Here is a 16971-nt window from a genome sequence, read left to right on the forward strand (position 1 = left end):
CGTGGCGAAACCCCGTTTTTACCAAAAAAAAAAAAAAAAAAAAAATTAGCTGGGCATGGAGGCAAGCACCTATAGTTCCATCTACTATATAGTTCCATCTACTCCAGAGGCTGAGGTGGAAGGATCATTTGAGCATGGAAGGCGGAGGTTGCACTGAGCCAAGATGGTGCCGCTACACTCCAGCCTGAGACGCAGAGTGAGAGACCCTGTCTTCTCAGCAAACTATTGCAAGGACAAAAAACCAAACACCGCGTGTTCTCACTCATAGGTGGGAACTGAACAATGAGAACACTTGGATACAGGAAGGCGGACATCACACACCGGTGCCTGTTGAGGGGTGGTGGGGGTGGGGAGGGATAGCATTAGGAGATATACCTAATGTAAATGACGAGTTAATGGGTGCAGCACACCAACATGGCACATGTATACATATGTAACAAACCTGCATGTTGTGCACATGTACCCTAGAACTTAAAGTATAATAATTAAAAAAAAAAAAAAAAGAAATACCTCAAACTGTAAAATCTGTATTGTTAAATCTCAGGATGGGAGATTATCTAGAGTAGAAGGGAAGGATTTGTGAGGGAAGTAAGGAAGGATGATACACATCTGTGTGCCTTAGAGAAATTAATAACCGACTTATTAGATATGAATAAATCTGAATTAACTCTTTTTATTTAAGAACTCTCTACCTGGTCCTTTTTACCCCCCCAATAGTGACATCAAAATGATACTTAACTGTCATTTAAAATACATATATGCATATATGTAAATAAAATAAGGGTGTAAAGGTAGAAAGGAGGAAAAAGGTTATGTTCACAATGTGACCCTACATTGACTAGAGAGAGAGACAAGAGGGAAGAGAAAGGACGGGAAAGCAGCCAAAAGGACTTCTGCCCAGACCTTCTTGGATAAAGATAATCCAAAACCTCAAAGGGAAAATGTAAGGTGGAGAAAAGGCAGCACCACCAAAACGTACTTAGAATTGAATTTACTCAATGTAGAGACCTGAAAATAAATTCCTATTTTTAAAAAAGATGTACTATATATTGAATAATTACTTTGCAACTATTAGGTCTGTACCCTTTACTATGCCTAACAAAGTACAGGAATAGTCTTTTTAGAACAAAGCTGAATATACTTTGAGTACACAATGGCATAAAAGTACTCAGCTCATATTTCTCCAAGGTATACATCTAATTCATCTACAGGCTTACTTCTGAACAGGCACTCTTTGTGATTAGTTAACTCAATACAGCAGTATTGAACTACAAATGACTTATTCAGAGGAAAATGATTATGAGCAATCTCTAAATTCTATGCTATTTGAACTCCATTTTATGCTCATTTTTCAATTTCTATCAAATACCATATAAATTTCCATTCTCTTTAGAGACAAAGAATGTATCTCAGTAATGTAATTTTAATATCCACACACCTGAACGAATTCTAAAACAAAATACCAAAGGGAAAGCTTCCCAACTATTACTGATCCATATGCAATTACACAATTACTTCATATCATGCTTTTTTAGCTTAAAAATTTTAAATGTACAAATAATTAAGCCACAAAGCACAATGCAAGTTCGATAATCACTGGAAATAATATGCCTTTTAAGAGAGGCAGAATCTGATATCTAATATTCTTCCATAAAGTATACTACATAATAAAAGTTATCGTAATTAAAATGCATAAATTCATTTATACATTCGTCTAAACAAAATGTAGCATAATTAAACCCATAGTTTAGGATTTCTTGTAGAGCACAAAAAAAACTGGGTACTTACAGGGAATAGTTTCCTGCTCATTTCTTTATTTAAGTGTTAAAAATCTTAATATGAAAAAAAAATCTCTTCTCATTCCCTTCAATCATACCAATCTTGATGATCTAATGGGAAAATAAACTGTGACTTCCTTTTAATTGATTTTAGGTTTGTCTGGTTAAGTTCTTTGTTTATTGAAACTGTTACCACCTTCTCACTTACCAGTTGGCACAAATATGATTTACTCTGGGATCTGCTAGCTTCAGTTAGAAGATGCCATACTGTGTGTCTTCCTCAAACCCAGAACCTAGCTCCATGGAGGTTAACTAACCTCATATTGTAACCCTCACACCAGCATCCACAAGCTGTACATCATAACCTATGAATAAGTATCATGGAAGTAAGGGCCACACCCAGTTTCCCCTAAAGAATTGAATATATAAAGTAGTAGGAAGTTCCTATACCTTTCCTGATCTGGTTTTCAGTCTGCTAAGCAGCTGTCTCTCAAATCTAGAGGGAGACAATCAGGTTATCAGCATTCTCACATATTTCAAAAAAAAATGAAACTGAATTCCCTTCTTTAAAAAATGTCTATGGCCCCTATGTATTCATATCAAAATAACCACAAGGAAAATAAAAACTTTCACTTGAAAAAGATTTTATTGTTTGTTCTCAAACAAAAATTTACACTGTTTTCAAAATATCCTTCAAAAACATTACCTGTGAGCACTCAGCCACAGGACCTTCTCCCACCACCACTATAAAATAATCTCTGCAGTGTTAAATGGCAGTGGGTTAGTATCTCACCTCTGCTTCACCAAGTTATTCCACGTGTAATTGCACGTTTTTACCTTTCCTAACAAATTTCTGCCACAATGTACTCTAAGAAACACAAAACCTAAGAATGTTAAATGCCTAAGATTTCCGCATCAGAAGACTGTGCAGAGTAAATTCTGGATATACTTTTTAATTTTCTTCTCAGCAGGGGGAGCTAGCACTCTCATCTTGAAGGTCTAAGTACACATTACGGAAATCTAAATTTTAATTCCAACTATCAAATTTCAGTATGTGTTAGATTATCCTATTGAAAATTTCCACAGAGGAAAAAAATTTTCAAGTTTGCCAAACATGAAAACTTACCTTTGTCTTGAAATTCCTGAAGATAGCTACAAAACAAAGAACATATTTTTAAATGAGGTTGAAAAATCAAAACAAGGTCTAATCAGTAACAATAATTAAAATCCAAAATCTATATTAAAAATACACACCTAGATATACATTAGAAAAAAACTAATTCCTGTCCTGAAATGACAATTCCAAAATGCTTAAAAATTTTAAATAAAATAATTTTTAAGGATCTAAGTACAGTAGTAAAATGAGGATATATCTTTAATACTTATGACATGTAAATATATTACATTTATTCATTTAAAGTAGTAACAAAAGAATTCTCTTTCTTCAGTGTCAGGTATTTTCTGTATATTAAAGTCCTCAATCCACCTTTGTCTTATCATTTAAACCAAATATACCCTCAGATAATCAAAATAAACAGCTGAACTCTGCTAGAATGCTCAGAAAAATACATAATCAAGAAGGGTACTATGATAAGCATATCTGTGTTTAAAAACTATATAGTGGAAATATATTTTTTGCCCTTCAAAAATACTTAACATCAGTTAAACTGGAACATGAAAAATTTAACTCCATAATAATCGATTTCTTATTAAAATGTTAGTTACAAAACTGCTTCTATGTAAGAAATCAGTAAACAAAAGGTAAGTGACTTACATAGACTTTACATCTTTTATCTTCTTAATAAGGGATTCTCTCTTTTCCTTTGCTTTCTTGGATAAATTTTCTCCTTTCAGTATATCTGCTACAAATGTTTCAACATCTAAACCATGCAATATAAGAAACAGGATACAAATTATAAGAAATAAAGGTTTTGTGAAGATAAATAGGACAATGATTGTTTCTACATATAAGTGTTAATACCTGTACAATTTGTTATAGTTATTTATCATTCCAAAGCATAACAGTTGAAGTGTGTTTCAAATACTAAGTTGAACAAATCTGATCACCACTTAGCTAATAAAATTTGTAAGTTCTACTTATGCTTACCACAGCAAATACTATTTGGATGTTTGGCATCATTAAACAAGGAAGAAGCACACACCAAGTTTTAATAAACTATGGTGCCCCATAAAACAAATTCTTTATATGGAAGCAAGCACCAAGCTTTTAAGCATGTGTTAATATCATTTTCTAGTATTTTGTAAGTTCCTGTGTGAAAATGTCATTCATATTATTATGTCAATACAAGCTAATGTCTCTGGCAAGGGTCTGTTTTCCCTAGTATAATCAATTTTCAGGTATATCCAACATGTAATGCTTTAAAGGAAAAAGTAAATCCACTTTTCTAGCCAAGATTCCCAAATCAAGCCCTCCTTCTTCCTACCTACACACTCATTCTGACTACCCTCAAATAAAAAAGATAACCAGCTGTGTAGTTTTGTGAGCTCTTGCTTCTTGCCTTGGTATTACCACCTGAAATATTTCTTAAGGAAGAAGTACAAACATAAGTTCTTCCACTATATAAAAATATAGTCACCAAGAAACAAGATTTCTGTGGCTTCATGTAACATTCCCTCATAGCCTCTTTTTTTAATTTTAGTAAACTTCTAAATTACGGTGCTGTCTGGGTCTCTCTAGTGTAAAATTCCAACAAGTCCTTACAGGTTTAATTTTTATACTAGTTCCATTCTTATTATTCATGAAATACTGTGCAATTTTAATTTTATTTTCAGAATTTCACACCTCATTTTGAAATATCTAATATGGAGGATATCATTAAAGATGTTTAAGTAGGCATGGCTATAAATCATTGATTATTTCATATGGAAGGGATTTGTGTTTTACTTTCTTTTTCCTTAACTACTTTGTATAGCATCAAAACAATATTACGTATAAATAGTTCAAAGTAGTATAATAATCTAATAATCTTTCAACTGTACTTACAATTAACCATTTAAAACCTAGTATATGTGATAGAATGTTTGTAATTCTTGATTACAAAAGTATCTTGATCCAATGAGGAAAGCCAATTAAACTTTTATACATTCATAATAAATGTGTACAGGTAATTTTTCACTAAGTCAATATGACAAGTAAAATAATTAAGAATACTGTAATAATTTAAAAAAAATAGCTTATGGTTTGAAGTCTATTAACGACTAATGTGTTAAAAATTTAAGTATCAAAATGAAATGAAAGCAAATGTCACAGCTTCTCTTTCCTTGAGTTATATTAACAACTGATGTATTAAAAAATAAGTATCAAAATGAAATGAAAGCAAATGTCACAGCTTCCCTTTCCTTGAGTTATATTAACAACTAATGTGTTAAAAAAAAGTATGAAAATGAAATGAAAGCAAATGTCACAGCTTCTCTTTCTTTGAGTTATATTTTGATGTGGGGGACATAGAGACATAATCTAGTACCAGTGCAAATTAGACACAGACTTCTAAAGTGAATTCAAAATAACAAAACTTATGAAGAAGCATGTTGCTCTAAAAGCTTTAAATTTTGTGCCCAGAACAGCAAGCAACCTTTGGATATTTCGATATTAGCTGAAATGGAAAAGATCACTGGCTCCCCTGAGATCATTACAGTAACTTTTGCAAGAAAGTGGAATAAGGGAAGAAGCAACATCCCTACTGCTGATTCGTCTTCCAACCAGACTCAATAGGAAGAATCACTGGCCCAATGACTGGGGAATAGTCTGCTTAATGTTATTTTCACTCAATGTTTGCCTTTGATTTCCTCTTCCATGAGTATTTAATTGCCTATTTTATATTTTCATTATACAATCCAAGTTTAAACAAACAATCTATTTTCTATCACTGGAAGTAATAACAATGAATTGCCCCCAAGAGTTTTTTTCTTTAAAAGGTCATTTCAGTTTTATAAAAATTCAGAAAAAAAAAAAAAAGGCTGCAATAAACACTCTACATAGTGCCCTCTAACGCCCCCAAACATGTTTTTAAAATACTGATCCATGTTACTATTTTATGACAAAGTTTTTTTTGAAAGAGTGTGGGACTGTAGGAAGAATCGGTATTTTTCAAGGATGCCAGAAATTCAGAGATTGGGTATGGTCTTTTTTTTTTTTTTTTTAGAGTAGCCTTTTTTAATATACTTATTCCTAAGCTTTTCCCAGAAAAGGTTTAAAGCAACTAAAATTATTTAATAAACAGTGACTTTTTCGTGATTATTTCTCAAAGGTGATGTGGAGAGAGTAGAAACTGCTTTGCTTAAAAAAAAAAAAAAAAAAAAAAAAACTTTAAACTGGAAGCAGTTCCCGAAATAATTTTAGTTTGTTGACTGTCCACAACCAAACTTGGTTGGTTTTTAAGCTTTTGAAATCTAGGTTATTTCTTAAAATCTACACTTTACCCGTTTCTTTTAGAATCGAATGAAACCAGCCTCTTCCAGGCACAGGAGACTCCTAGACGTGCCGGTGGCGTTCGGCCGGTGTCTGAGCAACACACCGATCCTGATCTCGCAACGCAAAGACAGACCAAGCGCCGCAAAGAAGTTGTAGGGCTGCGAGATGCTCCAGCTCTGCCCTCTGAGAAACGCACTTCAGCGTTAAACCCCAGGGTTCCTCTCAGGCGGAGCAGTGAGCATGGAGAGCCGGGTCTGGGGCAGAGCCCTCACTAGACAAATGGGGCTGGATCTGTGGCTTTGTAGCTCAGAGCCAGGGTAATATTTCAAAAGCAAGCAATAAGAGTCTTGGGCGAATCAAGTGTTCCTCTGGCTGGTTGGAGAAGAGATTTGAAGCTTCTTATTGTGCTCTAAATAGCCCTGCAAACGGTAAACTAGCAAGCACAGTAAACTAGCAAGAGCGTTAGCCTTCTTCTACCTTCCTTTGAGGGTCGTGTTCCTCGGTTAATATGTAGATTTCACCATTCCTGAGTGCCCGTAATTCAGGGAAACGCAGTAATTTGATAACAAGAAAAGGTCAGCCTCCCTCGCTCGACCCTTAGCCCGGTTTTTAGAATTCTTCCTCGGAGGCAGGGGCTCAACTCACACTCTCACGCATACTGGCCACGGGAGAGAAGCGTGGGAGGCCCACTCTGCGCCCGCGGGAAAGGGTTTAACTACCAGGTCTAACTACCCCCACCCACCCCCATCTCCTGCCTCCGGGCCGGCAGCCAAATAGACTGCAGAGTCTACACTGCTTGCATTTAACCCCAGAATTACCCCTATCTCCATCAGCCTCCACCCCAGCCCAAGTCATCAGCAGGAAAAAGTTATCCTGGTGAAAGTAAACGTGATGGGATTTTAGCTCCTAATACACCTTAACACTGTCAAGAGTAAACCTTATCTCACGGTACAGCTGTAAGGATCTGGGGGAGAAGGCCTCTGAAAAGATCAGATTTACAACTGCTCTGTCGATAAATGTTAAGGTCTGAAAACAAAATTAAAAGTTGACGTATACTGGCTCAGCAATCTTGAGCAGTTTAAGTTAGAAATCTCTCAATTGCCATGGAGACCCCTAAGAGGCAAACACACCAAATCACTGAATAGTACTCCAATCTTCCTTTTTCCCCCCTTTTAACATATAGACCTCCTAAAAAACAGCCACCCCACCTTTCCCTGGAGTCGCAAGTGGTTGGGACAAGTATCTAACACACACACACTAACTGCTTTCTGCCAACTTCTACACAGATCACATAGTGAAAAGGTGGAACTACACCAGGTCAGAACAGTTTAAATTTTTTTGCAAATGATAAAGTAACTCTCAGCTTCTGGATGTAGTATCTAGCACAGATTCCCACTCTTGAAAAGCAGTTTGGCCACTTGTCCTCACCACCCCCGACTATCAAACAGCCTAGAATAGGGCTTGCATACTGGAGGTTAAAAACAAGTCACAAAGGTAACACCTCCTCTTCCTGCCTAGTCCTCCAACCACCCAATACCTCCTGGCCCATGCATATACACACACTCAGCCTCTGTGATGGCCTGAATTGTATGGGGGAGGGGGAGGGCGCAAGAATTGGGCTGAATCTACCACCATATGCTTAGCCGCAGATCAATAAAATAAAGGTAAAACCAATCACACAGCACCCCCATGGCCTTTCTAACTTAATTCCACATCTCTCTCTACATTGTGAATTGGGCCAGATTTCTCTCTGCTTTCATTGAGATGTGCTGTCACCAAACTTAATATGATAGGGATCCTACCCTAGAATGTAAGCTACCATCAGGAAAAAAAAAAAAAAAAGACATGCTCTTCTCTGTTAAAGCAGGGTATGGCTCTGACCAAACAGGTACTGATAAACATAAAAATCAATTAAACTGGGCACATGCAAATCAACAGAGCCAAATGCCCAAAGTTGGAAAATGGCTAATTGAAAAGTTATTGATTGTTCTAACTGATGTCTTTCCCTGATTACTTAGCACTTTTACAGGTTACAGATGAACTGTGGACTTTTCAAACATGGAAAAGGTGACATGAACTGGCACAAGAGCTCTCATGGTACAATGGGTAAAAAATACCAGAGTCTTACAATCCAATCATTGGACAAAATTTCCAAAATTGACTTTGGGAAGCTAAATGATGTATTTTGATAGAAAGCTGGGCTGTTTAAAGGTAGGGCTGAACATCTTTCAACCCTAAAAGATGACTCTTGATAAATAGCACCTTACAATAATCAAAATCTTTTTACTACATATTTTCAAAGAAGCCACAGTGAATAACACATTAGTCTGAGATTTACACTATATTCAGTTTTAGGCAGCATCTATTGTAATGTGTTCAGAATGTGATTGAAAAAGAAATGTAAATTCAGTGGAATGAAAAAGAGACTTAGCTTTAATTGAAAAAGACAAACTAAGTGAATCATGAGTATATAAAATCTAGCCTATGCCACTTTTATCACCCATATATGACACTTAATCTGAAATTTATGAGACAACTAAACTGTGTTTCAAATCACCAGCAGCTTTTCCTACTCTGTTGTGTCTACCTTCTTTCTAGTAATACTTTAATGCTGGTAACAGGAGCAATAAGCCCATTTGCAAATTTTTCATATAATGCTAATTTTTTAATATGTTTAGATTCTTCTTTTTGAAGAAAACCAATGATAATTTGGATTGGGTAGCTATAAAAACTGTACGTAGTATCAAGAGCCTTATATAGTAATGAGATGAAAATACTTTCAATGGACAGCCATGCCAAAAGATCTCCTCCCAAGAAAAAGCAGGACATTATATACTTAAAATAGGCAAATAATTTTCCTAACACCACATCTTAATTCATCTATATTATTTAGCCCATACAAAAAACTCTGTAAACCTCTAGTCCCTTAATTTACATATATTCCTATTTCTAGAAAAGAATATCTTGGAGGTACGATAGATTTCATTTTGAGATTAAATGTTCTCATATCAACTTTATGCTCTTTAGTGATTGCTGCCCAAATGGGGCAGGCTTGTTCTTGCTCCATAGGAAAACCCAGGTGCTAAGGAGGTAGGTGACTATTGGTGACTCAGTAGGTGGCACTCTTCCCTTTACATACTCAGCCAATGTCCCAGAAGGAAGTTATGGGACACTAGATACACCATAAATAATTCTCATAGGAAAAATAAAACCAAAATGTTGACCAAATTATAAATGGAACTTTGGAAAGGTGGAAATTAAACCGTAATATACTCAGCATTGAAAAAATTCTGCCTCTATTTCAAATAAATTGCACTCTTCACCTAGTGCCCCTACAGGAATCCCTTTAGGGGACTGATTACATACCCTAAATAATATTGTGTGAAAAAAATATTCACACATTATAATCAATGTGTGGGAAAAAATTTTCTAATGTTCTAAAAATTCCCAGTAGGGAAAATGTGGTATTTCTAATCAAGAGTGCCATGTGAACAAAACCTCAAGATCACTTATTTATTGTTTGTTTGGTTTGGTTTGATTTTTCAGAGCACTAACAATCACTATTTTCTTCTTTTAACAATGGTTTCATTTGCTAATTTAGTAAACAGAAAATAACATCTTCTTAGAGCTTTCCTTTTAAAATTTGTTGTCCTAAAACAAATGAATGAGGATGAATGAGAAGGTCTGATTGCAAGCCACTAACAAACCATTATTTAAAGGGTGATTAAACAAATGAAGGAGGCTGGAGGGAAGTGGTTCTAGTTCCTCTTACTTTCTTGCCTGTCTAGAGAAAAAAAAAAATCACATAAATCAAGATTATTCTTGCTGCTAGTCCTAGTCAAAATATTTGGATGTGAGAGAAGATTAAATGGACAAGATTTGGGATTGTCCTTTGATTTCAATTATCCAGGCTAAACCTGTTTTTCCATTGTTGTAGAAAAGAAAAAAATCAAAGGTTGCCTGTAATGCATATGGCAGCTCAAAATTTGCTTTCAACAACGAAATTCTGTAAGTCCTTTTCTGTTCATATAACCAAAAGAATAATCAACATTTTATAAAAAGCATAGGTCTTCAAGACTGACTCCACAGAAAATATAACTAAAAATCAAACTAGATAGCCACTTTTTCAATGGTATCTTTACACAACACATGTGAGTTAACAATAACAACCTCTTTTTTTTTTTTTTTTTTTTTTTACATTTCTATGGAATGGTTTTTATAGGGGAAGGAAAAAGGGAGAGGGAACAAATGTTGAAAGTATAGCATAGAACTGCCATAATCAGACAGAAAAATAAAGAGAAAGAAAAATAATAAATAAGAATACACTTGAGTACCTATCCCTTTTAAGCAGGTGAAATTTCAAACAGTACATATGACATATAATGATTTAGTTTAATAGGCATATGGAACACAAACAGATACATCTAAGCAACATTATTTTAACAGTCATTATCTTTTGATTATATATTCTTCTTTCTAAAAACAAAGGACTTTAAACCCCTGAAAAGTTTAGTTCCTTATCTTCTCTACCTTGGAATTCTAGCATAGTACCATGCATTCTAAGAGCACTCAACTGTTAACTACAACACCATTACCAATATCTCCTCAGTTTCAAAGAAATAGACTAAATAAGCCAGCAATATCTCTAATATTCAAACCAATATAAATACTTCTATAATGTTACTCTAAATCTAGTCATATACTATTACCCAATACACTTGAATTATGAAAAGAATCATGTACAATGCTAACAATATTTTTAGATGAAATACATGAAACAATTGCTGACAGCATCTATTCTTGAAGCGTTCTCTACCTCAAAAAAGATTTTAATTACAGTCAAACATAAAATGTTAGCAACTTTCCAAATAAGTTTTTTTAAAACCTGAAAAACACTGATTTGTTAAATTTCTTTAAACATAAATACGCCCCAACTCACTTCCATACTTCTTGAAAATATCCTCTGAAAATAAAGTGTAATCCAAATTTCCAATTCCAAAAGTTTTAATTGTAATATTTTTTAATACTTCATGTGTGTTTTAATATGTGATTTGCTTTAATAATATAAAATAGTGAAAATGTCAATAAAATGACTTAAAATAATTTCAGATGCTATGCTAGTATATTACCTGACTAAAGAGAGAAGGCAGAAATATATTGGAAGTTAGCATTGGCAGATAATTTAAATATGTAATTTTGAGTTTTTAGTTAAATTACACAAATAAGGGCCACAGGAAATACTTGTGATCTATGGGGATAAGAGAATAAAGGTTCTCATGACCTACATATCATATTATCTGTGATTTATGATTATGGATCCAAATAACAAACTGTACTATGGGAGGTACCAAGCTTTAAAACATGCACCCAGAGGTCTATATGTTATTTCTTAAATTCAAAAATACAGACATAGAATATCCTGAAAATGGTTTCATCTATTTTTGGAATAATGATAAACATTTTTCTGCGCTGGTTATTACAATAATATTCTGAACAAACAATTCCAGCATTGTAAAAACAAAAAATGTTAAGTGTAGTAAAACAAAATCAGTAGTCATGTGATGCAATAAAGCTGCCTGAAGTCAGTCTTTAGACTTCTTTAACTATTTCCCTTAGTGGTACCCGTTAATGACAACAAGCATTTCTTAGAGTGAAAGACTATCCCACCACAAATGCATTCAACATACTGTACCATAATCATACAAACATAAGTCTACATTCATACACTTAATATTACACTACCATATTAATAATGCCAAGCACCAAAATTGAATGACAGAATATTAGGAGATTTGGACTCACATTGCTATAGGAGTAACATATAAAATGTGTCATCAAATGTCACATTTTAGATGACATTGCTTTTTAAGAGCTAGAATAAGCAATCTGTAATCTAGTTATTCATAAGCAATACTGAGAGATAAATATTTTATAGACATCTAAAACTAAAAATCAAAATTCAGTTTCCAGAATTCTGACGTACACAAGACAAAATAAATGATGGTTGAAATTCCAGAACATTGAGATAGGTAAGATTTGTGCTACCTTAAAAACATATATTTTCTACCTTGTACAGAAATATAAATTATTGGTTCTTAGTGAACATACACACCTCCGTATCCAGTAAATTAATGAACTAGTAGTGGATTCATAATGCTACTGAAGAACCACGTTTTTAGCTCCTAAAATAAGTTCCTATAAATGGTAATGTAAAACTGAAAAAGGGAAGATAAGGGTACAAAGATGAAGTACTTTCATCGTGTCACACAGGAAGTAGAACTTTAACATATCCTTCCTTTTTTGCTTTAATATATTACTGAGGCTGGGGACAAGTGGCCATTTGAGAACCAGACCTTCTTCAAAAGTCTTAAACGTGAGTGAGCTGAATGTTTAAGAAAAACGGGAGTTTTAGAAATGACAAACTCTTTCACCCCATAACCCCTAACACCTGTGGCTCTGACAGCTCTTTGCATCTCTACATCCTCTACCTCCATTGGCCAGACCACCCAAGAACTACTTATTTGACTTCTGCTCCCTTCTGCTTGCTCACGCAGCATTCATTATCATTATCATTCTCTCTCCCTCTTCCACTCTTCCTCCCCCGCCCTTCTGTCACACACACACACACACACACACACACACCGTCTTCACAATGCACATAGAAACGTCCTGATCCCATTTGTGTAGATCACCAAAAAGGGCTTCGCCACCATCCCCGCACCAAATTTCAACACACACGTCCACTCCCTTTCTGAGACAAAACAACCCCTCTCCTCTCCTCCCTGTGCCGACCCCACTGGCTAGAAGACGTGGGAAGCGCGGGGAGGGAGGATAAGGGCTCTGAATGCTTCTGTCCCCACCGGCTCACCGTTCCCTCGCCCCCGCCCCGACAGCATTATCGCCGCCTTCCCGCTCTTTACCTGCCAACAGGTTCCTAATTTCCTCAGGGAGGGGGTAGGGAGAGGAGGTGCTGCTGGGGTTGGGCATGTTAGGGAGCGCAGGGCGTGCGGGGAAAGGACCTGCGCTGAAAAGGTGACCGACGGGGTGGGGCTGCGGCTGCGACCTAGACTCAGGCTAGCGGCCCGGATTAAGAACAGCGGGGCTACGAGTCGGGACACTGCCGGGCCGGGGCTCACAACAAGGAAGTCACTGAATCTCCAGCGAGCTGCAGCTGGACTGTCGGCCCAGCCCCGCCCAGAGGGCCGGGGCGGGGAGATGGGTGGGAAGGGACACGAAGGGCCTGAGGGGTCCAACTGCGCATGTGTATTCCTCGGTTTTCCCGGCCCCAGAAGAAAGAGCCTGTGGGCAAGCCACGCCCACCGCTACGCCGGGAAGCAGGAGGAGGAGCCACTGGTGGGAAGGGGGCGGACTGAGGCTGCGTCACCTGATGCTGCGTCACCTGATCCAGCGTCCGGAGCGCCTTACAGCCATTTTCGGTACTGGTGCCATCACAACTGCTGATCGTTTCTGCAGGATTCCAGAAAATAATGTATCCATGATACAGAGTGTATACAAGTTTTGCGATTACGCCTTCTGCGTAACAGTCAGTCCCACCGCAGTTTAACCCACAAGGAATTTTCTCTTGTCCTAAACTATTATGGCCTTCTTTGTCCGATTGAACGGAGGTAACGAAGTCTCGTCTTCCGCCAGTCGTCCGGGCGAAGCCAGTCTGGAGCCGCTCCGGAGCGCGCGTTGTGATTGGCTCTTACATTACTTTTCTACCTAATTCGTATCCTTGGGGTGACAGATTTTCCCCACTACAAGGAAGACTGGGAAGTTCTAAGCACCGTCCTTTGGCAGGAAAAAACAAACAAAACAAAACAAAAAAACAGAAGGCCGAATAGACATTGGCACCACTGTCCATCTACAAGCATCAAAAATAAAATTGCTGGTGGTGGTTAGTAGAATAAAATTATAAAATCTGCTCACTCCAACTTGACCATTTAGTCAACAAATACTTACTGTCTTCTATCTGTAAAGCTTCTTAAAAGTTTTCTCTTTTAAAAAAAATGGCTTCTTTAAAACCTTTAACAGGCATACATCTTTGTGCTTCCCAGATATTGCATTTTTTAACAAATTGAAGGTTTGTGGCAACCCTGCATCAAGCAAATCTGTGGGCGCCATTTTTCCAAAAGCATGTGCTCAGTTCATGTCTCTGTCACATTTTGGTGATTCTAACAATATTTCAAACTTTTTCATTATTATTGTATATGTTATGGTGATCTTTGAAGTTACTATTATAATTACTTTGGGACATCACAAACAGCACCCATATAAGACAGCGACTGTAATCCATAAATGTGTGTGTTCTGACTGCTCTACCAACCCTATACCTTCCTCCATATCTCTCCCTCTCTTGGGCCTCCCCATTCCTTGAGACACAACAATATTGACATTAAGCCAATTAATAACCCTACGATGGCCTCTGAGTGTTCCAGTAAAAGAATCATTTTACTTTAAATCAAAAGCTTACTTTAAATCAAAAGCTAGAAATGATTAAGCTTAGTGAGGAAGGCATATTGAAAGCCGAGACAGACCAAAAGCTAGGGCTCTTGCACCAAACAGCCAGGTAGTGAATGCAAGGGAAAAGTCCTTGAAGGAAAGTAAAAATGCTACTCCAGTGAACACACGAATGATAAGAAAGCGAAGGAGGCTTATTGCTGGTAAAGAAACGTTTTCATGTTCTGGATAGAAGATCAAACCAGACATAACATTCCCTTAAGCCAACGCCTAATCGAGTGCAAGGCCCTAACTCTCTTCAAGTCTACGAAGGCTGAGAGGTAAAGAAGCTGCAGAAGAAAAGTTGGAAGTTAGCAGAGGTTGGTTCATGATGTTTAAGGAAATAAGCCATCTTCAGAGCATAAAATTGTAAGGTGAAGCAGCAAATGCTGGTGAAGCAGCTGCAGCAAGTTATCAAAAAGATCTAGCTAAGGCCAGGTGCAGTGGCTCATGCCTGTAATCCTAGCACTTTGGGAGGATGAGGCGGGCGGATCATGAGGTCAGGAGATCGGGACCATCCTGGCTAACACAGTGAAACCCCGTCTCTACTAAAAAAAAGATACAAAAAAAAAAGAAAATTAGCCGGGTGTGGTGGCAGGCGCCTGTAGTCCCAGCTACTCGGGAGGCTGAGGCAGGAGAATGGCGTGAACCCAGGAGGCAGAGTTTGCAGTGAGCCAAGATTGCGCCACTATACTCCAGCCTGGGCGACAGAGCGAGACTCCATCTCAAAAAAAAAAAAAAAAAAAAAAAAATCTAGCTAAGATATCTGATGAAGGTGGCTATACTAAACAAAGAGTTTCAGTGTAGATGAAACAACACTTATTGGAAAACAATGCCATCTAGGACTTTCGTAGCTATAGAGTAGAAGTCAATGCCTGGCTTCAAAGCTTCAAAGGACAGGCTGATTCTCTTCTTAGGAACTATTTCAGCTGCTGACTTTAAGTTGAAGCCAATGCTCATTTACCATTCTGAAAATCCTAGGGCCCTTAAGGATTATGATAAATCTACTCTGCCTGTGCTCTATAAGTGGAACAACAAAGCCTGGATGACAGCACATCTGTTTACAGAATGATTTACTGAGTATTTTAAGCACACTGTTGAGATCTACTGCTCAGAAAAAAAGATGCCTTTCAAAATATTGCTGCTTATTGACAATGCACCTGGTCACCCAAGAGCTCTGATGGAGATATACAAGAAGATTAATGTTTTCATGCCTGCTAGTACCACATCCATTCTGCTGCCCATGGATCAAAGAGTAGTTTCAACTTTCAAGTCTTATTTAAAAAATACATTTCATGGCTGGCCATGGTGGGTTACACCTGTAATCCCAGCACTTTGGGAGGCTGAGGCAGGAGGATCACTTGAGGCCAAGAGTTCAAGACCAGCCTGGGCAACATAGTGGCACCCCATCTCTACAAAAAAAAAAAAAAAAAAAAAAAAAAAAAGAATAATTAGCCAGGTGTGGTGGTGTGTGCCTGTAGTCCTAGCTACTCATGAAGGTGAGATGTAAGGATCCCTTGGGCCCAGGAGTTCAAGATTACAGGGAGGTATGACTGTGCCAGTGAACTCCAGCTTGGGCCACAAATGAGACCCTATCTTAAAAAAAAAAAAAAATATATATATATATATATACACACATATATATACATATATATACATATATATATACACACATATATATATACATATATATACATATATATACCTATATATACATATATATATACATATATATATATATTATATGGCTATAGTTGCCATAGATAGTCATTTATCTAATATATCTGGGCAAAGTAAATTGAAAACCTTCTGAAAAAGGTTCACCATTCTAGATGCAATTAAGAATATTCATGATTCATGGGAAGAGGTCAAAATGTCCAACATTAACAGGAGTTTGGAAGAAGTTGATTCCAACCCTCAGGGATGATTTTGAGGGGTTCAAGACCAGTGGAGGATGTGGTGGAAATAGCAAGGGAACTACAGTTAGAAGTGGAGCCTGCAGATGTGACTGAACTGCTGCAATCTCATGGTAAAACTTGGAGGTATGAGGAGTTGCTTCTTATGAATGAGCAAAGAGAGTGGTTTATTGAGATGAAATCTACTCCAGTGAAGATGCTGTGAATACTGATGAAATAATAAGAAAGGATTTAGAATACTACGTCAACTTAGTTGATAAAGCAGTGGTTGGAGAGGATTGACTCCAGTATTGAAAGAAGTTCTACTGTGGGTAAAATGCTAGCAAACAACATCACATGCCACAGA

At 36.9% G+C, this 16971-nt stretch overlaps 1 protein-coding gene and 1 long non-coding RNA gene across 4 annotated transcripts in view, besides 2 other annotated features; one reads left to right on the top strand and one right to left on the bottom strand.

The window, feature by feature from the left end:
• LOC124901606 (uncharacterized) overlaps positions 1-6309 on the top strand; it is a 51980-nt gene extending 45671 nt beyond the window's left edge. Inside the window, exon 3 of the long non-coding RNA XR_007060265.1 lies at positions 6232-6309. This is a non-coding gene — a long non-coding RNA (uncharacterized LOC124901606). The remainder of the gene's footprint in view (positions 1-6231) is intronic.
• SKAP2 (src kinase associated phosphoprotein 2) overlaps positions 1-13358 on the bottom strand; it is a 209821-nt gene extending 196463 nt beyond the window's left edge. For 2 of the 3 annotated variants that reach the window (XM_017012771.3, NM_003930.5), the window contains exons 1-3: positions 13131-13358; positions 3553-3658; positions 2905-2930 (exon numbers count right to left, since the gene is read on the bottom strand). In XM_017012771.3, coding sequence (XP_016868260.1) covers positions 2905-2930; positions 3553-3658; positions 13131-13197 — 199 coding nt within the window. In that variant the 5' untranslated portion in view covers positions 13198-13358. Of the gene's footprint in view, positions 1-2904; positions 2931-3552; positions 3659-6218; positions 6492-13130 lie in introns of those variants that run through there. The other variant, NM_001303468.2, reaches the window with a different exon arrangement.
• Positions 6190-6791: an enhancer, noted in NCBI's record as "H3K27ac-H3K4me1 hESC enhancer chr7:26897041-26897642 (GRCh37/hg19 assembly coordinates)". NCBI's record gives its function as "activates a minimal SCP1, AML or CMV promoter by ChIP-STARR-seq in naive H9 embryonic stem cells {active_cell/tissue: H9 hESC(naive)}" and the evidence as "EXISTENCE:reporter gene assay evidence [ECO:0000049][PMID:30033119]".
• Positions 13596-13925: an enhancer, noted in NCBI's record as "active region_25791". NCBI's record gives its function as "activates an Ori minimal core promoter by ATAC-STARR-seq in GM12878 lymphoblastoid cells {active_cell/tissue: GM12878}" and the evidence as "EXISTENCE:reporter gene assay evidence [ECO:0000049][PMID:35858748]".

This window comes from Homo sapiens, chromosome 7 (assembly GCF_000001405.40).
Source record: "Homo sapiens chromosome 7, GRCh38.p14 Primary Assembly".
NCBI classification, from domain to species: Eukaryota; Metazoa; Chordata; class Mammalia; order Primates; family Hominidae; genus Homo; species Homo sapiens.